Below are 25,778 nucleotides of genomic sequence, written 5' to 3' on the forward strand. Positions count from 1 at the left end.
TTATTCTGAATTTAAATAGGAATGCCTATTTTAAAAATCTGGACAAGTTCTACCTTTCCCACCTAAAAGTTGTTTTCTAATATCCTTGTGGTTTTTCTTCATATTGTTTTAAATAATGTTTTAATTTTTAAATTATTTCTTCCACTGAATAAAAAGGAAGCTTTGTCTTTTTCTCTTGGGAAGAAAAATCACCTGTCCTCAAGTTTTTAAAAGAACATATGTAAATATCACTTTTTGTAGATGGAATTGTTGTGTTTTATAGATTCAACCTAGAATGACACTGAGCAAATTGCCTCTTCAAGCAAATGTCTATCCCATGACCACAATGGCCTATATCCAGGATGCCAAACATCGTTTGACACTGCTCTCTGCTCAGTCATTAGGGGTTTCGAGTTTGAATAGTGGTATGTATTGCTTACACTCTTTTCCACTCTGAAAGGTTTCAATTCCAACTGTATACTTTTTCTGTTGGTCAGATGTGGTATAATCTCTAGTTAAAACCTCCCTGTCTTCTTTTCAGCTTTTTTCTTTCAACAACCAGACTATTAGTTAAGTTTGGGTTTTGTGAGAACAACATAAAAAGATGAATCTCCTAAATCTTCAGATGAAGAACAGGAGACCTAAAATTCCATGTCAAGATTTCTTTTTAAAGATAATTTGCTTCTCCTAATAGTATGTATTTTGCAGAGGTCTCCATCATCATTATGATTTAACGGATGTGGAAACTCAGATTCAGAGGTTTAGATAAGTTGCCTACGTTTGCAAAGTTGGGAAGTTGTGGTTCAAACTTAGGTCCTTTTCTGAATCATGGTCTTTCTATTCTGCTACCACCTGAAAGAAGGAAGGGAGTAGAAATGATAGAGATATGGGGATAAAGAGGTGTGGCTTTGAGGATTCCAAAAGAGAGAAAGTGATGCGCAGAAAGTGAGAGAAAATAGTCAATAGACACTGATTAATTTTTGCAAGTCTTTCTATTGAGAGGCTTTGATCCTTTATAATACATATTTTTAATTGGTTATCATACATGGTATCATTGGTCTTCTTACATTCTAAGAGTTGGTAGAGATACATATCTGAAGGAGCCAGATAATAACTGAGTGCAGATTCCTGGTGTGTCCTTTGACACAAGCCCACTTTTTACATGAGGCGTATACATGCATTCTGTATCTTACACACACACACAAAAACTGCTACTTCTCATTTTTCTTTGTGGCCTTCATTAGATAAGATCATATAAACTCATGCCATAAAGACATGAATTCGATTTTGAAAGTAGTAATGGTTCCACATCAGGGATCCAGTAGGGAGGGTTAGAGACTTGAGCAAACTGAAGAGCATGTTCCCGATGTGCAGTGGGGCAGCATTGTTGCTGTGTGGTTAGGGGCCCAGTGTTGCTAAATTCAATTTTTTTTTGAAGAAGAGTCCAGAAGTCTGGAATTTTACGTGAAGTTGTTCAATCTGTAAAATATTGATACAATTTTTTAAAAAACACTATGTTGAGAAAACATAAAACATCTTTGTGCCGTACATGACTCTTGAGCCACTCATTTTTAAACACTGCCTTAAATTCTCAAAGCTGTGCCCTAAATAGAGGACTAGACAGTAAGACTCAAGCCGTGGTTAACAAAGCAGCATTATCTCACTTCCTGGAAATGTGATGTACATTTCCTAATAAACCTCATAAGCATTTTTGATTCCAAATGGTGCTACTAAAAGTTTCGGAGAACTTAATTTACTCTTTAGGTTAATGTTTTGGAAAAAAAGTTTCATTTAAATTTTGATCTGTCCTGTCTCACTTTTAAATTTCTTATCAGATATTGTGAAACATTACTAAAGAAACACAGAAATACTATCCTGTTTTATGAATTTGTAGTAGCTACTTTGAGCTACTATCAAGAGAAAGCCCATGGTGTAGTGGGTTGTATAAATCCACCTCCTTGACTAGAGAGGAAATTTAGAGCAATACATCATGACTGCTACTTAAGTGATGCTCAATGAATGTCAGTATTAAATTATTCTGGTCAGTTTTGCTTGTTTGTTTGTTTGTGTGTTAGGTCAGATTGAAGTTATCATGGATCGAAGACTCATGCAAGATGATAATCGTGGCCTTGAGCAAGGTATCCAGGATAACAAGATTACAGCTAATCTATTTCGAATACTACTAGAAAAAAGAAGTGCTGTTAATACGGTATGAAAAAATAACTAGCATGATCTGATATTGATTGTTCTTTGTCACCCAAAACTTGAAATTATGACTTTCCACTTTTAAAATTTTAAAAATCATTTCCAATATTGAGATTTCTTTATAGTAGATGTGGCCCACATTCACAGAAAGAGAACTTCAGTTATAAATATCGTGTAAGATTTGCACTTAGGTCTTTTTATTTTTTATGTTTGCTTATTATGTAGATAAAAAATAATGACAGGAAATCACTTTGGGTAAATATTCCTGAAATTATTTTGAAAGACATAAGAATTGAAAAATTGAGCTAAATAAAAGTTAAAGAATAGAACTTAGTCATATACTTAGGAGATTAAATTTGGTAAACTTTATTTGAAATCTTAGTAAAATTTATTTGAAATCTTAGTGTACTTATTCTAGTCTTAGACTCTTCAGTTGAAAATGTATTTATATGTAGGTTTTCTATGAGGTTTACTCCTCAAAGCAAAAATCTAGTACTCTGTGTTGAATGGTCTGGCAAAAGCCCAGCTGGACCTGAATGACCTGACGATATGCTTGTTCAGGCAAAGTTATCTTCAGAGTTCTCCGTAAGTTATTGATCCACCCACCTTGGATAGCCCTGAGCATGGGCTTTTTCTTTTTGCTCTATTCTCCTTTCTGCACCTGACCATTGCAAGTCCTTTCTGCTCTTTTCAGCCAGTGATCGTACCTTTCACTTTATAGAGAGAACAGCCATTAGACAGGGCTCTCTGTTCCAGTTATCTAACATCTACTCCCACCCTTCCCATCTCTCCTCCTGTTACATTTAAAAGACACTTTACAGTCCATCATCCTAGGCAGGTCCCACCACTTGTCCTTGGAACTTACTCTCTTCACCCACCTCAGCATCCTTTTACTGTTCATTCTCTCCCTCTCTCTTTCTCCCTTGCTCCTCATATCCAACACTTCCTGGGAGATTCTTTCTGTTAGCTTTTGAACACTCTGTTTTCTTCTATTAAAAGTAGAAATGGAATACAGCCTTCCTTCAGACTCTTATTTCCATTTCCTGTAAGCTGCTATCCTCTTCTCTCCTACCCAATTGAGTCAGAGTTTATGAGATGAGTTTATTTCATCACTTCCTTCTCACAATCCATTTGTTTCAGTCTGGCTTTAGCCTCCATCATATTCTGAAAGAGCTCTTTCCGATGTCAGTAGATCCAGTGCATATTGACTTTCGTCATCTTACTTCACCTTTCAGCAGTATTTGGCACTGGCCATTGTCACTCTCTAAAATACTGCCTTGCCAGGGCTTCTATGGAGCTATGCAGTTTGGTTTTCCTCCTACCTGTCTGGCAGTTCTTTATCTCTCTAATAGTTCTCTACTCAGCCATTAAATCTTAGAGCTCTCAAAGCATGTCCCCTGGCCTTCTCCTTTTCTTATTTTTTATGCTATCCCTTGGCAATCTCTTCTACTCCTCTGGTTTTGTTTGCATCTTCCACACAGGTAGAAGCCACTAATACATATCTCCAACTTAGGCTTGTGTCTGACCTCCTGATTTATCTATCTAATTGCTTCCTGATATTCTCTGTTTAGAAGGACACCTCAAGTTTGACATATCCAAAACACTCATAATCTCTCTTCTCTCCCAAACCTGGCCCATTTTCAGTGTTCCCCCCAGTCAACAGCCACCGCCATCCATACAACTCCAAGACAGACATGAGTTCTGCCTGATAGACACTTCTCCCCATCAGCCTTTTCTCACAGAGTAATTGCCATCACCTATCTATCTCATTGCCTGAATATTTCAAATTTATAATCTTCTTTACTTCCACCACCCTAATCTAAAGTGACTTCCTGTATTTCCTGGGTCTAGCCTATACACATCCACCCTGTTCTCTTTCTGCCGTATGTCTGTTCTTAACCCAGAAGGCAGAATGGTTTTTTTTTTTGTTTTTTTTCAAAGCCACATCTAACTTTATTGCTTCCTGTTGAACCCTCTGATATCTTCTCATTGCTATCAGTATAAAAGTCAAAATTTCTTACCACGGCCTCCAGAGCCCCTCATGATATGGGCCCTGCATGTCCCCTAGGCATTGGCATTGGCATGCCTTTTACTGTGTCTGCTTTAGGCCCACTGGTTTCCTTTAAGTCCCAAGTACTTTCCATCCCCTCCTCCCCACCGCACTTTTGCACATGGCCTGTTATCCTCTGCCTTAGAGACTCTTGGTGATAGTTCCGGTTAGTGCTTACTTCATCAGCTGCTTCTGGACCAGGTTAAAAGCCCTTCCCCTATGCTGCCTCCAAACTGTGCATCTCACCTTCCTGCAAGTGTGCGATTATTTGATCCTGTCTTCTCCCCTCCTTTGGACCATAAACTCCATGAGAGTGGGGAATGTGCCTTTCTTTGCTTCTAGGATTGTTCCTGGCAGAGGACATGCCTAATATATGTCATATGAATGAATATCGAAATGCATAGATGAATGAGCTGTTAGAGTACATTTTGCCACTGTATTTATTGCAATTTCTGCCTATTACCTTGTCTTCATATGCATGTTGCATTCCTCCTACTAGATTCCAGGGACTTGTTGCCTTCATTTTCATTTGTCCTTATATTTGGTAGACATTCTTTAAACAAAATACTAGTTGATTGAATGAAATAGCAACAGCTAATTAAAGCAAAAATTCTTCCAGTATTTAGAATATTTTAGAAAAAAGAATTAGTATCCACTTTAGATGTCAAGAGCCATACCATTCTTGAGACTCATATTTTAAATCAATCACTGACAAGATAGCTTAGTTTTAAGGACTAAATCTGCATAGGAAAATCATTGTCTGAGTGCTGACAGCTACTGTCTTTTGCTCCTCCTGAAAAAGTTTCTCGCTTATATGACTTTATATTGACACTAATCTATAAAACTTCTGTTAACTGCAATAATAAAAATTTTCACATCAAATCTATAAAGCTTTGACTTAGAAGTGAAATAATTTGTTTATTCCCATTCAGAACTCCTTGGATAGTAATTGATTTAAATTTAATTTAATGTTTTTATGTTGATTAAATTTTTCTTTTACTCAAGTATAGATTCTGGGTCTTCAATTAATGGTTTCTTTTAAATAAGAAATGAACTAGAGAAGAGAAAATACATTTTAATGTCTAGTGAAAATAATTAAAAAGACACTTAATTGATGAAAGTTAATACCATGTAACTTGAATTTTCTAGAAAGAGTTCTTAATTTCAACTCAGACTCAAATATCTAAAATAATGATGGAGGGAAGTGAAGTAGGGGGATACTCCCTGAATAGGAAGAGATTTTAATGGGAAGCCCTGAGCATGACAGAGCCTCATGGAAATAATCCCGAGCTGACTAAGTGGAAGTAAGTCCTGTCCTCAGAGAATTCTGCAGAGAGTCAGTAAAAACAAGGACTTGGATGATATCCACTGTGTAATATGTGCAGGTGTCCAGTGAGGACTGTGGCTGCACGAGGTTGACCATCATTTATGCTAATCATCCTCAAAGCCAATAGAAATGGAAAATAGGATTCATCTCTTTGGCATTGCCAGGGTTTGAATGTGTCCCCCAAAAGTTCATGTGTTGAAAACTTGGCTACCATTGTGGTAATGTTGGGAGTGGGACCTTTGGGAGGCTTTTGGGTCATGGGGGATCTGCCTCATGAATGAATTAATGCCATTATCATCGGAATGGGTTAGTTATTGCAGGAGTGGCTTTGTTATAAAAATGAGCTCTCTTGCACTCTCTTGCCTTTTCACCATGTGATAATGCAGCAAGAAGGCCCTCACCAGATGCCAGTGCCATGCTCTTGGAATTCCCAGCCTCCAGAACTGTGAGCTGAATAAACTTCTTTTATAGATAAATTATCCAGTCTGTGGTATTCTGTTATGGCAGCAGAAAATGGACTAAAAACAGGCATTGACGGCTTTAGGATTTGTTTCTTTGACGGTTTATCCTTACCCCTTTCCTGCTACTGGTTGGTTAATGAGGCACTGAGCTAGGAACCCTGTAAGTGTTCAAGTGTTAAAATTGTGTTGTTGTACCTTTAAATATAAGGAGAAGAAATTGGGAGAGATCAGATTAAAATATTAAATACTTATATGGTTTAGAAAAGTGACAGCATAAGGGAGATCAACCAGGTTTAAGGGTAAATACTTAGGTGACCAGAAGATCTACAGTAAACTTGAGGACATATCCCACCAAGACCCACAACTCAGCTCCAGCTGATTGTTTCCACAATAGGACTGAATGCCTGCCCAGGGTGACACAGATTTCCAGTTTCTTGGGTAAAAAACAAAAAATGTGTTTTGGGTTTTTTGAGGTTGCTTTTTTATTATGAATTTTTTATTAAAGAGTTGGCTTAAAAACAAAAAAAAAAAAACATTTTAATACCATACAGACCTACCAAAATGTGTGATCTACAAATCTGCCCCACAGTCTTCAGCTACAGATACTTACCTCCAAATGTTATGATTCAATGTATTATTCTTCATTTTCTCTCCTCCTTCCTCTTTGTCTTTTTTACTCCACCCTTCCTCTCTAGTGTTCTTCTTTCATTTATTTATATTGCATTTGCTTATTAAATTAATAGATTTACTTCAACAGACATTTATTAAGTTCCCACCATGTTTCAAGTCAAACTGAATAAACAAGGGTAACTTAAAAAATGGTCTCTTACTATCTCACCATGATTTAACAGGATCGTTTAACTCAAAGTGAGCTTAATAAAGGGCACCAAGAAGTCTGGCAAGAAGTTCTGACTCATGGACTAAGGGCTGGAACCCAGTGAGGAAGAGCTGTACTTTGTGTGGTTTGGATCAGAAGGTGCTAGAAACTTTCTTTAATGTCAGACAGGCTGCAGAGAGAAAGCTACACTTATACAGTCTGAAACCTTCCAACCAACAAGAAATTAAATAAGGTTTATAGTACTAGATTAGTTAAGTACAAGGCTGGGGTATTCATTTATAACTTAAACACATAAAATTTCCTGTAGAAAACATGTTTTTAAAACTTTGGGTTTATCATATGATTTACAGTGGAAAGGTTACCTTTGTAGAGATTAATTTAAATATTGATGGTTCAACAGTTAATATCTTGTTGAGCCTCTTGTTGCTGTAAATATGATAAGAAAGTACATGAATGGCAGAACTCTGGGTGAGACTTTGCCACTCCAACCTGGCCAGCCTCCAGCAGTGTTATTTTTTCATGGTGCTCTTAGGGTAGTGAACCACAACTCTTCTATAAACTTCCTTATCTTTCTAAGGACAGTAAACTACACAGTTTTTAAATTCTTGAAGTCCTTAATATCCATGACATTGTTTCCTTTTAGAAGACTCCCATCAAAATGTCTTTGAAACTGAATCTTGTTTTTCTAATGCAAAGGTAGTTAAAAGGTAAAGTTTATCTTTTGATTCTAAAGGGAGCTCTGTTTTCTCTATAAGATTGGATGTCTGGGGTGGCACTTCCCGGCACAGGGTCATGGAGCAGTGTGCGGCTAACTCCATGAAATTCACCTGGGGAGGCTTTTCAGCTTTGCATTTTCAGGACCCCACCTCTCAAGATTGTGTAGATTTGGGATAGGACCCAAGAATCTATGTTGATTAGAGGTGCCCCAACTCATTCTGTTGTGTGGTTAATTTGGGGAAACACCAACGGTTAGGAAGAACTAATTTGGTTTGGAGGATTGGTATATATGCACGTTATTGCTTCTGGAGTATAGAAGATTAATCAGGAAGTGTTCTGGCTACTCACTGGAGTGGTGAGGAATTACTCCAAGAGTGTGGAACAAAGCCAGAGCTTTCTCTGAATGTTTCTTGACCTAGAGTGGACTTAATACTTCCCAGATTTGATGAGGGAGGTGTTTTCTTTTCTGTTTGAATCTTTTATGTTTTATTACTCGTGAGTGACTTTGTCAGCAATCCTAACTTAGATTATGAAGTCCTTTGATCTTGGAGTACATTTAAAATATCTTGTTGAAATTGTTCCCTCTCTATTCATGTTATTCTACGAGCTGCATTAAATTTCAGTGTTGTTGGAGAATATTATTTTATATGCTTTATTTAATCTTTCTTTTAATACAATTCATTCAGACCCGATTTTTTATCAGTATCTTAATATTGCAGTGTCCCTCTGCTGTCTTAAAATTTTTTTTTTCTCTCTCCATAGTCTGAAATGTAATGACATCTAATGTTAGCTTCTGGCACGATGCTAGTCACTTTTTGCTAGCACCCTTCTGTGCAATGCTAATCTGACATTCTGAATTTTAAGCTGTATATCTCTATAAATCCTGTCTTTTCACACAGATCAGTAGCCAAGCCTTTTATCTGAGCCTTATATTACAAAAAGGATGCAAAATCAGAAGATGTCAATGGAGTAATCATTTTAAGAAATAAGATACAAAATTAAATTTGGTTCAAATGTAACTGGTGATCAAAGGACCTTTCTGCATAAATTATTTTCTAAGTTATTTGTGTCTGTTTTTACTCCTTAGGTTAAGATTCTACTCAGTCATTGATTTAATTTTGCATGTCATCTAGCATATTTAATCTACCAACATTAGTAGATTATTTAATGTTTGAACATACAGAAGTGTTGCTTTTAACCATATACCATAGCAAAAACTAAAGCATTTTAAATTATATGGAATAATCATATACTATGTAAGTGTGTGATAACTATTCAGTAACATATTTAACACTTCTACTTTTGGAATAAAAATAGTGAAACAATTGGCAATGATTTACCAAGTTGAAAGAAAACAATCAGATGATCTAGGCATGCCGCCTATGTTATTTATATTTAAAAATTGGATTTATTTTGAGAGTTTTGTTTTCTTTAAATTCTGTCATTGGGTAACATTTAGTTCCTATCATTTGGTAACATGGATGGACTTTAGCTTTGAATCAGTATATGCCTTTATGGTCTTGTTAAGGGGTATAAATGAAACTACAAGAATATGGTGGATGAAACCTGAGAAGGGAGATAATATTTGATGATGCACAACATATAATCTATGTACAGCCCAATCCTTGTACTTTGAGAGTTTTGTGATAGGTTGAGAATTTTCATAAAAAGGTATGCCTTGTCCTGAAATGTTTGTAGGAAATGTTTTCAGTATTTTTAGTATTAAATCAATGGAAGATATATTTTAAACATATGAGTTAGATGTGTGCTGTTTATTTTCTTTTATTGCTTACAACTAAACTTGGTAGTTTATGGAGTATTTTCTAAGACTGTTATTTATAAAATGTAATGAAACCAAATTATTCATATATTTTTATATTAAACCCTCTCAGATAATTCTGTTAATATGATGAGAACTGGAAATATAGACCTCTTAAACATTTTTGTTTTTTCTTGATAGGAAGAAGAAAAGAAGTCGGTCAGTTATCCTTCTCTCCTTAGCCACATAACTTCTTCTCTCATGAATCATCCAGTCATTCCAATGGCAAATAAGTTCTCCTCACCTACCCTTGAGCTGCAAGGTGAATTCTCTCCATTACAGTCATCTTTGCCTTGTGACATTCATCTGGTTAATTTGAGAACAATACAGTCAAAGGTATGTCTCAAAATATATCTTATAAAAAATTACTGTTTATTATGTACTTGTTTTAAGGGGGTAAGGAAAGGAGAAAAAAATAATGTATGCTTTACTATGCTTTGAGGAATTATTAACAGGGCTTCACCTTTAGCCAAAAGCTTCATGCCTTTCATTTGACTATTGCTGTATATTTTAGAGTATATCCTGATACTAATTTACTCTTAAGTTCTGTATGGCGAGCAGGTCAGGAAATACCATTAGTAGGTGGGCAATCTGGGCCTTAAGTTTAGCACTAGTGACTTTTCCCATTCATTTCTCCTTGTTAGACAATATCTCTCAGAAGCTAGAGAAATAGTACTTAGTTATTTCTATATCAGAGGCTTTGTATTTTCGTACCTTTCTCTTGAGAATCACTGCAACTCAGTTTCCCATTAGAAAACCAACTGTTTAGAAGAAATATTAGAGGAAAAGCATGGGGAAGTTTTATTAGGTATGAAATTTAATTTAGTTAGACTGCAGTTATATACATACCTGTTTTTAACATCAAAAAGATTGCATTTGGAAAGAATAAGAATTAGACATTTGACATTGTTCTTATGTGTTGCAAAGCTGTTTTGATATTGCAAATTGACATAGATTTAGCTGGAAATAGTAAGTGGTTATGGATTCTGTGGAAAATATCTCATGGTAAATGGCCTAAGTATGAAAAGAAGAGGATGCTCATGTTTAAAGACAATATAAGAGGTGAGAAATGTTTAATGTAGAACAAAGAACTAAAGCAATAAAGTAAGGATAAATGCCTATAATTTGGATATTAGAGATTTACAACTTTATGTCTAAGATATAGGAGAAAAAATATAATTTTTTTTTCTTTATAGATTTTTAGTTGAGACAATTTTGAAAGCAAAGGTCAGATAAACAGGGGAAAAATAGCAATAGTATATTGTACATGCTATACCTGTCACTTGGGAGAGGCCTAAGTTCAAAAGTATTTTTTTCCCAAGGCAGTGGTTTTGGCACCTTGCCTAAATAATGTTTTAACAAAGAGCCATAAATCCTCTAGAGACAAGACAAAGAAGAAAGCACCTTCAGGCTTCCAAAAGGTAGGAAAATGTGGGAGGATAAATTTATGGGAAGAGTGAAGTCTGCTCCTAGATGCTCTGGCACTGCTGTCTCTTAGCTAATTAGCAAGCCTTGTAAAGGGGCCTGTCTTTAGACTAGAAAAGGCAGAGAGGAAGGGATGAAGACCTCTTGTATTTGTAAATTGCTGTCCTGCCATCAAGCAGGCAGAAGAAGGGACAGAATGGCCCCCTGGTTTTTTTCCTTCTTCAGCTCAATAATCCTCAGTTTTTTGAGAGAGAAGTATTTTGGTTTCCTTCAGAGATAAGGAACTTATGCTTGGCTATGCAGGCAAACATATATGACTTATAATAATGACTACAAGCAAATGCTCGAGGCGTGTGTGCGTGTGTGTGTATTGAAAGGCTTTTTAAAATCATTATCAGTGAACTTGCAGGATTTATTTCCTACCCACTACATGTCAGTTACTGCCATAAAACACACAAATGCCCCTGCCCTTCTAGAGCTTAGATTCTAATGGGAGGAGAAAAACAAGAAAAAGTAAGAGAAATATGTAATATGTTAGATGGTGTTAAGTGTTATGAAGGAGTAAAAAGGGAACAGCCATTCAAAGGAGGTAACACAATTTTGATTAAGGTGTGTAGAGAGGGCCTCACAGAGGTGATAATGGAGTAAAAATCTGAAGAAGGTCAGAGAATAAGAGACTCCTGCAGATTTCTGGGGGTAGAGTGCTCCAGGAAAAGAGCAAGTGTGAAGGCCCTGAGGCCGGAGAGATATGTGGCCAGAACAGAAGCTCCATGAGAGCTATGCTTGTCCTTTATTCATGGCTATATCCCCGTGAAGAAGAGTGTCTGCACATAGGATCTCAAAAACTATTTTGAATCAGTGAATTGTGTAGATGTTTTTTCTAGGATTCTGCTGTGGTTTTTTGTAGGTCTACATTTTGGCTCCCCGAGGTGTCGTGTCATAAATTCATGAGCTAAAAGAAACAGAAAGAATAGAGTGGAGGGCATCAAATACTCTGGGCTTGAGGTTACCACCACCCAGCATAGATGGTAGAGGACATCAGCGACCTGAAGAACCCAGAGGCTTCTGGGGAGGATGGGCGGTCACCATCCCTTAGCCTCACTTCTAGGTGGCTCCTCCACTGTAGTTGTTTTAAATGTGATTGTTTTCTGGAAGCAGCTGGAGCTGACTAGAGTCAGTGAGCATAGGGTTTTACCTTCTGTAAACGAAGCCTGGAACTTGTTTTTTATGTCACCTTTTTTTGTGGTTACTCACTTCTTCACATCCTTCCTGCTTTTGACTATTTTCTTGTAATACAAATCTAATCACTTCTCAGATGAAAAATCCCGTTGCCTACTGAATTGGTTCAGACACTGAGCATTCAGGTCCTCTGCAGCCTGGCCTCTACTTACTGCAGCCACCTGGCTTCCCGTTGCTCTTCGTGCCTTTGGACAGGTGGGCCACCCTCCCTACCTGTGGGCTGAGTGACTGCTGACTCAGCTACCATTTATAACATGAGGCTAATGTCACGTATTGCTGTGTCAGGTCTTTTGCTAAAAACAGACGAAATCCTATTGTGAAAGCCTTTTGAGAACAAAGGCACTCTGTAAACATACCTTGTTATCCTAATGACACTTACTCCAACTTGGTTGCAGATTAGGGTTTTAGCAGAGGGAATAGAGAGCAACTTAACAACATAAAGATTTGACCAAGAAGATTAAAAACTGAAATGTTAATAATGCCTATTGATAACTACCATGCTGGCTCATAATCAGAACTAAATACTTGGCAGTTTTGCATTATCATATCAGTTGGTGCCAGTTCCTGTGTTAGCCTTTGACTCTTAGCACATATTTATAACAGTTGTTTAAAAGCCCACTAGTAATCCAAAGGAAGGACTGGTCCATTCAAAACCACTTCTTTAAAGAATTCCCTAACCTGATAATAGAAGGATAATCATTGAAGGGAACTGTTGTGGGTATTGATTCAAAGAAAGCTGTACTTACAAAATGTCCAGTGTAATTCCATGCTTATACTAAAAAAAAAGACCAAAATGACTCAATGAATAAGTACAGAAGCCAGACCTAAGCATTTTGGTTTGGGTTCCTGTTTCTGTGTGCTGGAAGCTTCCAATGTGCAATAATGGGCTGTTCATTTGGAGAATGCAACTCATTTTTCCCCTTGAAATAATGTCAAAATAGACATAGGTTCCAAGCAAGACCTGAAGTCTGCATTGGCCTGTATTTAAGTAAGCATATTCCTAACCACCACAGTATTTCATGAGAAATGTGTCTGAAGGCCACCTTAGCATGATAAGGACGCATGTCTTCCTGCCTGACCAACTCCTTCAGCACCATGATAGAGAGTGCCCTTGCTTGGCCCTCTGGGCCGCTGTCTAAAGGTTTCTCAATTCTAAACCTCAGTTGGTTTTCTTGACTCCTGGGATAAGGGGTTATAGATTCGAAGAACAGTGAGGGAGGCGAGTTGCAGGCTGCAGGTATGACAACCCACTGAGGTGGTTCAGCAGTTCCAGCTACTAGTCCTCAAATTCACTGTGCCCGGATCACACAGGGGAGATTTTAAACATAGAGACTTTTACAGATTTCCAGATCTCTGAGATTCTGATTCTATAGGGCTGGGGAGGAGAGCCTAGGAATTTGTAATTTTTAAAAATGTTTCTCATGAAATTGCTGAGTTATCTCCATTTCCTAAATTAGGAAAGTGAGAGTTAGAGCTAAGTTAAATGATAAAAATAAAATCACCCAGTGGTAAATGGCAGAATCAGGCGTTCTGAATCTCAGTGCTGTGTGTGGCCTCAGAGGGTAGCATTTGACTTTTTTAGAATTACTAAATTTGTTTCTAAAAGTCCAAGCTTTCAGGGATTGCTCTATATTAGTAGATGAGTTTACATTTTATATAGACATATCTTGCTTTTAGACAGACATATCTTGCTTTTCTGCTTTATATCAATTTTTGGAAAATGATTATATGCCGTATATTTGTATTCAGATGAAAAGGGGAACAAACATCTCTGGAAGCCCTGCCTCACAGCATGCTGCGTGGCCTTGCCCATTCCAGCCACTATCTACAAACTTACCCATTAGCTTTCCTATTCTGTTGGCCTGTCTTTCAACTCTTTTCCTTGATCACACCTTTCCCCTACACTATGAAGATCTTGAGATACTAAAAAGAAGCTTCTGTAAAGGTTTGAAACCTAGGGAACATGAACACCACTGAAATACACTACATGCAAAAGCCTTGTCATCAGGAAAGGACCATTATTTAAGAAGAAGGGAGATTGGGTAGAGAAGATGCAGGGAGGATCTCATGGGAGGACAGATGATGAGTCAGGCTTCTGAAGCTGGAGCTGCTGGTTCAGCCTGGAATAGAGGGACAAAGAGGAAGCTGGATAAGCTCAGCTTCATGGAGCCATTCTACTTGGAATACTTTAGAAATGTGATATGTAGTTCAGCTTTTTTTTTTTTTTTTAGATTATTTCCACAGCTTTTATATTTAGACATATTTATTTTATATAAACATGATATATATATATATCTTAACTCTTTCTCTATGTAATTTATTTTGATTTGTGTTTAACTGTTTCTTGCAAATAGTTAACCATCATTTCAATATCAGCACCACTTACTGAATAAGATTTTCTCTCTCCACTTGTTCATTCTGCCTCTTCTTTTCTTATAAAAGGCAGTTTGAGGATTTTACTTTATTTGTCTTTCTTATAAGAATTGATTGGTGCTTTATTGATCTCCCTAGCTTCTGGAAAGGTGAAAATTGTGAGAAAAAAAAATTCCTTTGTTGTACGTATCTCAGAACAGCCATTTACCTTCCCTTTCTTTCTGTCATTTTATCTTGTTGATCAAAACAGGATAGCTATTATTGGACATTTTAATGAGCACCCTAAAAAATGAATTTCTACTGGTTATAATACCATCTTAGGACTTATAATGAAGCATGTAATTTTCTAACCTTTCCAGCTGCCAGAATGCACTAGGGATGAGTGTTAGGTATTTTCAAAGAATCTGAGTGGGTTGGAGAAATTTTCCCACCAGATGTGTAGCCGTGCCTTAATCTATGTGCACCTTACTAACCGTGTGAAGAGGGTGGGGTCCCATGCATCCTGGAGAATTTGGCCAAAGTTATGGCCCCTCTCTTCCCCACAAACGGTGGTTGCACACATAATGTTTACTACAGTTTCCAAAAGTTTACTGTTTCTTTTGGTGCGAGAGAGGAATGACATAACTCACATCTTAAGATCTTCAGTAGAGGACTATTCACCTGCTTTTTTCCTTAAAAGAGACTGTCATGTGTGTATAATTTTCAGAATGGCTCAAATCCTATTTGAAGTGGGGTGAATGGATAGGTGGATAGGTGGTAGATGGAAGGAAATTACAATTTCCAAAGCTTGGTTTCTGAATTGATATATTTTTTGATAAGTTATAGTTTTATCTCTGCTGGAACCATCAGTCAATACTCTCCTTTTTCAGCCATAAATTGGAGGGGTTACCTCCTTTAGTTTACAGTATTTTGTTATTTTACATCAAAAATATTTTTTATCTTTTCTCTCCTGGCTAGGTATCTATGAGCACAAATTCATAGCTAGTGCAAAGGTAGGAGAAGGAAGCTGTTAAAAGCTTAAACTTTGGAGTCAGATGTCCTGGGTATGAGCATGTCTCCTTTGCTTTCTAACCATGAGACTTAGAGCAAGTCACTTAACTCTCTGAGTGTCAGGCTACTCCTTAGTAACATGGAGATGGTAATAATACTCACCTTAGAGATGTTCTGAGGATTGGAGATAATTTTAGTGTTAGTAAAGCACTTAGAACAGCATGTGGCACATAGTAAGCCCTATGAGTGCTTGACAAGTAAAGGTTCTCACCTGTGATAGTTCAGTCATGAACAACGGCAGTTGTCACTAATAATGAGGTAAAAACATTGCCAGAGTAAATCTTGATGTCACTTTGACTTATTCCTGATATTTTAGGTTGGTACAAAAGTAATTGCAGTTTTTGCTATTAAAAGTAATGGCAAAGCTACAATTACTTTTGCACCAACTTAATACTTTGTTAATAATTCCTCAGATATTTAAAAATAACATATCTAAAATTGTCTGTTTGCCAGGCATTGTGCCAAGTGCTTTACATGAACTTTATTTAAAGCTCTCACAACAACCCTAAGAAGGTAGGCAATATTTTCATCCCATCTTACAGAATAGGAAAGTAACTGACCTAGAGATATGATAGATAACTGTCAAGGGCACACAGCCAGTAATGTGGTCCTGGGAGCACGCTCAGGTGTGTCTGAGTCCAGATGGCTTCTCAGAACCTTATACTGTCTTGCATGGGAACAAGAAGGGAGAGGGAGCACTGAAAATGTGAGGGAATACACTGTCTATTTTTCTTGTGTCTTCAGTAATAATAGGACACCTACAGAGGATATCCCATCCATTGGCGGGAGAAGACTAAGGGCTAATCCAGGATCACTGGTGGTCATTGCTATTTGAGTATAAGAGAGAATGCTTTGTGATAGAGATTTTCTCGTATATTTACATATTTTAATACAAACTTATATATCACCTCAACTATTTCAAAGGTTGTTGTGCGATAAAATGAGTTAATTGATGAAAAGCATTCTGTACAGGATATGGCACACAGCAAGTGCTCAACAGGTATTAGCAATGACTGATATTGTCACTGCGGTTGACCCTCAGTCTTCAGAGGGACTCTTCACAGGTCCAGCTTAGCTTGCTGAATTTATAGAGGTTTACTCAAAGTCACATAAATGGTTCATGGTAGAAAAAATCATTGGTCTGATCCAGCTTTCTCTAAGCCCAGCTTTATCTGATGGCTTCATTCTGCAAACCAAATCATCTTTCCCCATACTCCACCAAGTTGCTGGAAGAGCCTCAGAGGCCCAGCTTAGTCTATGAGCTGAATGTTGGTTTTATCCCCTGAATTAAGTTTGCAATGGGTTTTCTCTGTGCAACTTTAGAATACGCCAGCCTTACTTCAGTAATTCAGCCTCGAAAGTGATCTAATCTGTTTTACAAAGATAGTTACCTACCACAGTGCTTGGCACAATTTCAAAAATTGTAAATTTTCTTCCCCACATCCTCCCATTTTATGGGGTCCAGATATTACTAATGCATTAATGAATGTAAAAGCAGTTCTTCCAAAATCTGTTTACTCTCCTAGAGCATACAGTGTGACTGCTTGAAGGTATCTGTTTTCCTGCATGCATATTCAAGTTAAATTCACAGTTTCCCTACTTTGAAAAACAGTTTTCTTGGAAATAAAATGTCTAGACAGACTTTGAAACTGAAAAACTGCTGCTTTGCCTCAGGTATTTTTGCTTGAAAACTGATACTTTCATGAATATTTGATTTTTTAAAAACTTGGACAAGATGATTGCTATTTCAGTTCGTTTTTACAAAAGTGATGTAATTTTAGTTTTGAGAGAAAGTATAACTTTTTCTATCAGTGAAAGTTAATTTTTATGACTTTTATCTCTATTTTTGTATTGTCGGTTTAAATCTCTTGTAGAATTCAAATGTAGAATTCCAAAGGTGTTTCCCTCCCCACATTTTTTGTCCCCTTCTGTTGCTATAAAGGCCTTACATATTCATTATTCCAAGAGCAAATGTGTTGCAGGAATTTTAGCCATGCATGCTATCAAGTGATATGTAAGGATGGACCCATGAGTTAAAATGGACAAATGCTTTAGGTTAGTAGTGATATGTGCTTTTAAAAGAGCTTAATGAAGAGGGTTTCTAATCTGTTAATCTGAATCCAGACTTTGTTATGACTTTGATGTACGACTCTAGACATATAATTTAGGAGTTCCCTGAGTCTTTAGCTACAAAGTTGTAATGTCAAATAAAGGAAATTTATGCTAAGGGCTTCCTGTGTGCCAGACATTTGGCCAGATCTTTGTTAAGCTATTTCATTTCATTTCATCTTCATTTTATGGAAAAGGAAAACCTGGTTTTGCTGAAACCCACAGCTAGTAAATTGCAGAGCAAGGATCCAGATCTCCAGCTGTCTGACTCCCCACTCAGGCTCTGAACCACTCTTACTACACAGCTCGTGCACTAGCGCATTCTGCCCTACAAGGCAGTGTGAAGCTACTTACATAGTATTTTCAACAGGTTAATCCACACAGTGACTCCATGAAGGAAATAATACAAGCATTACCTCCATTTTACAGGCAAGAAAATAGATATTTAGGAAGAAGAAATTACTATCCTAAGGTTTCACAGTTGGCACATGATAGAGTCCTGTTTCTTATTCTTTTGGAGATCTAATGATACCATAAATGAAGGGTTTTCCTATGTGTTATTTTTATAGTACATGGGCAGGGTGTTTTAAATGTATTGAAATGAATTAGAAATTTTTATCATATGATTTAAAATTGCTGTGTGTATCATGTGGTCTTGTGATGACTCAGAATTCCTTAAATGACTCTTCTCTTCCTTCAAACAAAATCTTAGCAGTACCCCTACAAAATATCAGTGTGAAACATCATAACATAGGTTATTCCAGCCAAGACTCTGAGGTGAGGACAGCTTTAAACTGTTCAGGCACATTAAAATCAAATCAGTGGTGGAGATTCTGGCAGCTATTCAGGAAAGATGTCTCTTTAGTACATTAAAAAATCTTATCCCCTAGTGAGGATGATCAGGCGTTTGGGCATATTCCTGTCTGTGGCCAGAGAACAGAGGAAAGAATCAGTTTTATCACAATGTCAGTGCTGAGCAGCACATGACTCTTTTCAAAAACTGTATGTTTCTTAATTTTTCCAGGGATTTTTAATTCATTTATCATAAACACCTTCCAACTTTAGGAAACAAAATTTATTAAGATAATTGTATTTTAAAATATTCAGAGGCCTAAACCATTCATGACATTGATACTTAAATGGATATGAGAAATTTTATTGCAAGAAAAGGTATACTGACCCTCTTAGCTGACTTGTCATGTTTAGTATTTTTATTTTTGCCTGCCTATCAACAATAGCTTCTGCAGTATCAATTTAAATGATACATCAAGCTGGTAAATGTGAGCTGGCCTACCAAGTGAAAGCATAACTAAATTTAAATAGCTCTGATATAAAAATAATGAATCAGTACATCAAAGATTAAGAATGCAGTTAGCAAAAATTAATGTTCAATAAAGAAGCATGTGTGACTTTTAAGTTAGATGGTATGTCATTCAATGACCAGATAAGGACTAAGTTCAGGTGCAGTTTATTCAACTGATGTGTGTGTTTGAAAAATAAGACGAAAACATAATGCTTTATTTGAATAAACTTTAATAAAACAATATATAATGTATGGACATAAGGAAACCTAAGTCCTCGGGGATTATAGGGGAAACCAAGGCATGAGGTTACCTAACAAGGAACCTTAGAACATAATCTTACCTGGCTCAGTACAAGTAGGAGAGAATGGTAGCAGGTGAATGGGCAGTGAGCATGGACCTGAGGAGAAATGAATTTGCCTAACTTTCTTGCTAAATAAATGTGCTTTTGGATGCTGACATCGAGAGAGTGGTGTGTGAAGTACCATAAATATTTGCTTTATTGTCTGCGCGGTGTGACTGCATTCTGCTCATTTGCAGGTGGGCAATGGGCACTCCAATGAGGCAGCCTTGATCCTCCACAGAAAAGGGTTTGATTGTCGGTTCTCTAGCAAAGGCACAGGGCTGTTTTGTTCTACTACTCAGGGAAAGGTAAGTTGAAAAGGTTATTTTTGCTTACTGTTAGTGTGCTTTGAAATCCTCTTTCTGCAAAGGATCTTGACAATAAGATCATGTTTCATTGCTTCTTTACTGTCTCAGTTTCATCAGTCTGCAAATTAGTTTGAATCTCCCCATCTGAAAAATGCACTTTCTCAAAACTTCAGCCTCCTTTCCTTGTTGACATCAAAAGGCATAGCTGGAATTTATGCACATTTGAAGGCAATGCTCTTGTTATTTCCTAGGCCTTCTATTTCCAGCCTACAAAGTGCCTTGCTCCCAGTCCCCCAGTTTTCTCCTCCCCTGAACCACACATGCTCACATATCATCTAGTTCAGCATTGGTAAACCTAAGTCCTACAGAGGCCAAGGCAAGTTTATAATAACTGAAGCTTATAGAGGTAGCCATAAAGAAGCAACTGGGAAAATTGAGACTGTAGGCTAGTGGGATAATCCACCCACAGCCCAGGAGGCAGCTGTACGTAGCGCCAATCAGTTGTTTTCCCTTGGGAAATAAATGTAGGTCTTGGTCTTCTGATTAATGCAGATTTGCATATGAGTCAACACACCGTGCAGGCCAAACAGATCCTCAGTCTGAACACAGCTTGCTGGCTGCCTATTGTTTATTTCTCTTCAAGTTGGTCTTTCTGGCAGTTCCATCAAGCCTGTCCTTGAAAGGAAACAAACCTCCAATCTCCTGCCTCTGTCACTGAAAGGGCCATGACTCAGAGAAGGCAGCTGGGCTGATTTAGGTACACAGGCAGGTCTGCCTCACCAGGCAGCTCAGCTGACCCAGCTTTCCTCCAAAACCTCATAAATAATGCTGTAGACCAGACTCAAGTGATTCAGTTCCAACCCTACAAATTAGCATGTGTGTGGGGTCCAAAAAGATAAGAAAAATGTGGTAGGAGCCCTGAACCTACTTAGATAGATTAGCTTCTACATTTCTTTTACCCTACCCTGCTTGGAGCTGGTGCCAAGAAAGCACTGATATTTTTATTACTTTTTTATTATACTGTATTTGCACTCTATTGTATTGTTGATGATCTAAGTTTACTTGGTTCTGAGCATTCTGACATTAAGGCCTTGAGTCATAAGGGGGTTATACGATCCAGAGAGACAGATAACATGGCAGCGGTGAGGGAAATACTTTCCAAATGACCTGTCCACCTCTATAGACTGGGACTCAATGACATAATGATCCCTCCTTGTAGTGAGCCTGTGTGCTCTCTCTTAACTCTGTTGGAACAGGAAAAAGTGGTTGAGGACTACCATTGTTAGGGGTAAGTATTGACTAAAAGAGAATGAGGATGTTTTTAAAGCTTCTTGGCCATTGGAGGTCCTTTCTTTTATTGAAAAAGCCCCTGTGCATGATAAAATTCTCAAGCAATACAAAAAGGAATGCAGAATATGTTGCTCATGACCATTACTGGTTTCCTGTTCCCTTCCAAGCGTAGTCTGTATGTTCAAGCATGTATATATGTATATTTAATTCACCCTTTTTTCTGTAAAAGAGAACTTATATATGTATATTTAATAACATATATGTATATTTAATCCACCCTTTTTTCCTCAAAAGAGAACTTCAACATACTGTTTTATTCCTTCTCATACTAATTTTCACAGAATATGTAGTTGTGCTGCTAATCTTCAAAGTTGATCTAAATATGTAAATTTTATCATTTACTTTTCAGATATTGGTACAGAAACTTTTAAACAAGTTTATTGTCGAAAGTCTCACACCTTCATCACTATCCTTGATGCATTCACCTCCCGGCACTCAGAATATAAGTGAGATCAACTTGAGTCCAATGGAAATCAGCACATTCCGAATCCAGTTGAGGTGAACCTGACTTTCACATTTGGATTGAGAATCATTGGCTTTTATACCTTTCTTGGTTTGACGTGCAATAAAGAAGCACATTATTTTAGCTTCTGGCTACTGTGAGAACATGAATTCTGTGATTCTGTGGGTTTTTTCTTTTTTCTTTTACCAGTACAGTAAGAAAAAAAAAAAAAAAAAAAAAGCCATGCTATCAATCAAGATTCTTTTTTTTTAAACTTTCTCCCATGAACTACCACCATCAGTATGAATTGATGCAACAAATGAAGAAATATTTAAAGACAGCCTCTCAACAGATTGTATCTCAGGTTAAATGCTAACTAATTATGTCTGTGTTGGGGGTTGCGAAGAGATTCTTAAAAGTATCTGTGTGTTGATCATCAGTTTTACAAAAACACCTATTTGGCTGAAATGGAATAAAATGTTTGTGGGTAAAAGCTAATGGCCAAAATGGTTGCAATCATTCATACTAGTTAGAAAAATTATGTGTTGAAATAAGTGGAAAAGTGCAATCCATCCACCCTTATGATTAACGTAGATGATTTTTATACCTTTTTCTGATGTACCTCTTGACCTTCTCCTTCCCTTCCTACCCTTTCTAAGTATTTCCAGAAATACCTGATTTTGAATCATTCAACAGTAGAAAAAGAGGCATATTTTCATTACTTGACAATGTGGGATGGGTGCAATTTATTCCATCTTCACTAAAATAGAAGCAATTCCATAGGTACCATAAACCTATTTTAGGTACCACAAGGTGTCTTTTTACACAGCTCATTTGAATACAGGTGTTCTGAGAAGGGGTTTCTATTTTAAAATTACCATATCAAAATAAATGTGCCTTATTTTTTTATAAGTCTTGTTAAATCAGTGTCCATATTACTGTTTGGGGAAGGGGGAATGTTGTGGGGTCTGGGAGAGGGTGGGTACTTTCTATGACACATAAATTGTGTAATTTTTGCCTGACAATGCTGGCCACATTCTGATCTGTTTCATTAAATTTGTGGTGATGTTACTCTAAACATTTTGACTATTTGAATGTACTGAGATGTCAGAAAACAAAACAAGGAAGGAAAATATTGTTAATTAAAATGTGCTGCTGCCAAGGAAACTGCAACTTGAAGCAAGGATTTTGTAAAATGCAAAATCCAGCTACTGTTTCCATTTCACAGTAGTTAACTATATTAAAGAGAGAATGCTTTAAAATTGATCTTGTTTTGAAACCCACTTTTATGTAGCTCATCATGGTTTATCTTACTAAGGAATATGTTTGTTCATTCAGTTCTCAACTTTTGTATGTGCTAACCTTAAAGTGAAGTTCTGAGCCCGTGTGCCATTACAGTGCTTTTAATAAAATTTATTTGGGATTATTGTTTCCTTAACATTAAAATAATAGCGACATTTAGACTATGCAATTTTAGCATAGAAAGGAGTCTTTGAGTATGTACAGTTTTGAAAATTCTCTTTGAGATAATTGATTTCATATTCTGTGGCTTTCAACCTCCATTTACCTCTTGTCATTCCAACATCTTTATAGAGAAATAAAAACCCAATTTCTCTTTCACCATTTAGTTTGATTATCATCTGGATTTTCACTCAAGATGCAGCTCCTAAGATTATTGTTATGTTAAATTCATAAACTCCTTCACCTTTAATAATTAAGGAAACAATACCAGTGTTGATAAAGATATTACAAGGGGTAATTTCATGCAATAAACATGTACCGTAAGTTTTCTTCCACATATTTTGGGAAAAAACTAAAAAAAGAAAAAGGACTTCCTTTTTGTGGACATCTACAGATGTTAGGGTTGCCAGAAGCAAATCCCAGGAATGAGATCAGTATTTTCATTGCATCTTAAATGTATAACCTTCCTGTGGGAGTTCAGTTTGTCTGTGGTTAAGTGGGTGTGCTTAATCATTCTCGAAATTGTGATCAGATGAAATAAAAAAAAAATCTTGATGCAATAACAGTGGTTTTGCCACTTCTGGTTGTTTGCGATGGATCTGTCCCATGTCAGTCTGGGGTTTTATTCAGCTTGTGTTGCTACCAGCAGTTCACAGGTAAAGCAGAAATTCTCTTTAACCAGCAAGTTTCTGCTTTTTAAGGTTACTTTTAGAATAAATCATCAGGGAAACAGAGAGGATGCTTTGCTTTGGGTTGTAGTCAAAAACTGATTAAATAATTTAATGTCTCTGGCACACACTAAAAACCATACACTTCAGTTGTGATCTCAGTGGCATATTTATTTGGTTAGGTTTCGTTACATTTATTATTACAGATGTTCAGTTGACCAAGTAGTTCAGTGTTTTCTTTCCTTTTTTTGGAAATTTTAGTTTGAGTTTGTGACTGCAGTGTTCAAGAACTCAGCATCCTTGTTTTCTACAAATACTGATTAAAATAAAATGCTGTAAAATGTGATGTAAAACATTATCATGATCTTCCCATGCCTTTGTTGTACTTGTGCCGAAGTGTTTTGATATTCCTTTGTCTGGAAGAAAATGTTTGCTTTCATTTTGATCATTTTGTTCACCTTGGAATCAACAGGTTTTGATATTTTCTCTTGGAAGATTTTATATCTTTTTGGGAATATGTAATATAAGATCTCTAATAAAAGATAATCTTATCATGTACATGGTCCTCTAGAGTAGTTCTTAATCCTATTTTGTAAACATGTATTAAAACATAATGAAGGGGTAGGGGGAGTAGTGAGGGTCTGTTCTTTGTTCCTTCATGATGGATTGGGTTTTTTTTTTTTTTTTTTTGGACACAGAGTCTCGCTCTGTCACCCAGGCTGGAGTGCAGTGGTGCAATCTCAGCTCACTGCAACCTCCGCCTCCTGGGTCCAAGCGATTCTCTGCCTCAGCCTCCCAAGTGGCTGGGATTACAGGCACCCACCACCACTCCTGGCTAATTTTTGTATTTTTAGTAGAGACAGGGTTTCACCATCTTGGCCAGGCTGGTCTTGAACTCCTGACCTCGTGATCCACCCACCTCAGCCTCCCAAAGTGCTGGGATTACAGGCGTGAGCCACCATGCCTGGCCTGGATTGCTCTTTCTTTAGTCCAGTTGTAGTTAGAAAATGTAGTTGTAGGGTGAAGATTGTAGATGGGTGGTGGTGAGTGTTACATCTGGGTTTGGAGGCACCTTTCAGCTTGAAGTCTAGGGACCTTCCTAGCACCTGTGCCCCACGGGGCCTTCTGAGCCCATTAGGAGGTAGGCAGATTGTGGTCAGATTCCATATATAAGCAGGACAAAGTTGTGGAGGGGAGTAAGCTCAGACATGAAGCTAAGAAGGTCCATGTGAGTTGATCTAGAAGGGAGGGTGGGTTGAAAGAGTCGGATCTGGAGGTACCCTCCAGCCTGCTGGCCCAGACTATTACACAGCTTCAATGACTTTAGAGGAGTCCCCTCAAAGCTGAGAGGCAGGCGCAGGTGGAGAGAATAAATATTCAGGGAGGTACACATGGGTTAGCTAGGTAAACAGTACATGTTAACTAGGAAATCTGCACTTGGTTTGGATAACTTATGCAGTAAAGAAATAATCCACTTAAGGCCGGGTGTGGTGCCTCACGCTTGTAATCCCAGGACTTTGGGAGGCTGAGGCATACAGATCACTTGAGGCCAGGAGTTTGAGACCAGCCTGGCTAACATGGTGAAACCCCATCTCTACTAAACATACAAAAATTAGCCGGGCATGGTGGCGGGCACCTGTAATCCCAGCTGCTTTGGAGGCTGAGGCAGGAGAATTGCTTGAACCCAGGACACGGAGGTTGCAGTGAGCTGAGACTGCGCCACTGCACTTCAGCCTGGGCAATAAGAGTGAAAATCTGTTTCAAAAAATAATAATAACCCAGTTATGTACACACAGGAGTGTAACAATCTGTAGAAGTTAGTAAAAATAGGTGTCATTGAGAAATAATGAGACTTGTCTTTGGCCCCATAAAATTAGATCATTAACATGTTAAAATAATTTGAGTATTAAAATTGGTAAAGAAAATTTAGGTGGGCATATGTTCACAATGCCTTTTACAAACCTTCGAATCAGACTAACAAAGGGCCGTTATGATGTTGAAAAGTTGGATCACAGGGGAGTTGAAAGAATTAGCAAGTACTCTGTTACTACCACATATCAAAGCAGAAAACAAACGTCTTAAGAGGTTGTAAAGGGCGAGATTTCTCCAATACACGCTAGATGAAGCAAAAATAGGAAATTGTAACTATCCAGTAACTAATGTTCAAGGTAGATAACACTCCAAATACAGCTATTGCCAGGTATGAGATGCCATCTAAGCTCTGTCTGGATCTCTCGGTTTTTCTTTCCCCTGAGTTGTCCTCATTCTTGGGCAAGGTCTGCCCATTGAATGGCAAAATGGCTGCCAGCAGGT

The 25,778-nt window shown here is 37.4% G+C and overlaps 1 protein-coding gene across 3 annotated transcripts in view; it reads left to right on the forward strand.

Annotated features, from left to right (window-relative positions):
- Window positions 1–24,023, forward strand: part of MAN2A1 (mannosidase alpha class 2A member 1) — a 179,699-nt gene extending 155,676 nt beyond the window's left edge. For all 3 annotated transcript variants that reach the window (NM_002372.4, XM_017009472.2, XM_024446048.2), the window contains 5 exons: window positions 263–404; window positions 2,055–2,188; window positions 9,538–9,732; window positions 19,434–19,544; window positions 21,244–24,023. In NM_002372.4, the coding sequence (NP_002363.2) occupies window positions 263–404; window positions 2,055–2,188; window positions 9,538–9,732; window positions 19,434–19,544; window positions 21,244–21,396 (735 nt within the window). In that variant the 3' untranslated portion in view covers window positions 21,397–24,023. The remainder of the gene's footprint in view (window positions 1–262; window positions 405–2,054; window positions 2,189–9,537; window positions 9,733–19,433; window positions 19,545–21,243) is intronic.
- The last annotated feature ends 1,755 nt before the right edge of the window (window positions 24,024–25,778 follow it).

This window comes from Homo sapiens, chromosome 5, assembly GCF_000001405.40.
Source record: "Homo sapiens chromosome 5, GRCh38.p14 Primary Assembly".
NCBI lineage: Eukaryota > Metazoa > Chordata > Mammalia > Primates > Hominidae > Homo > Homo sapiens.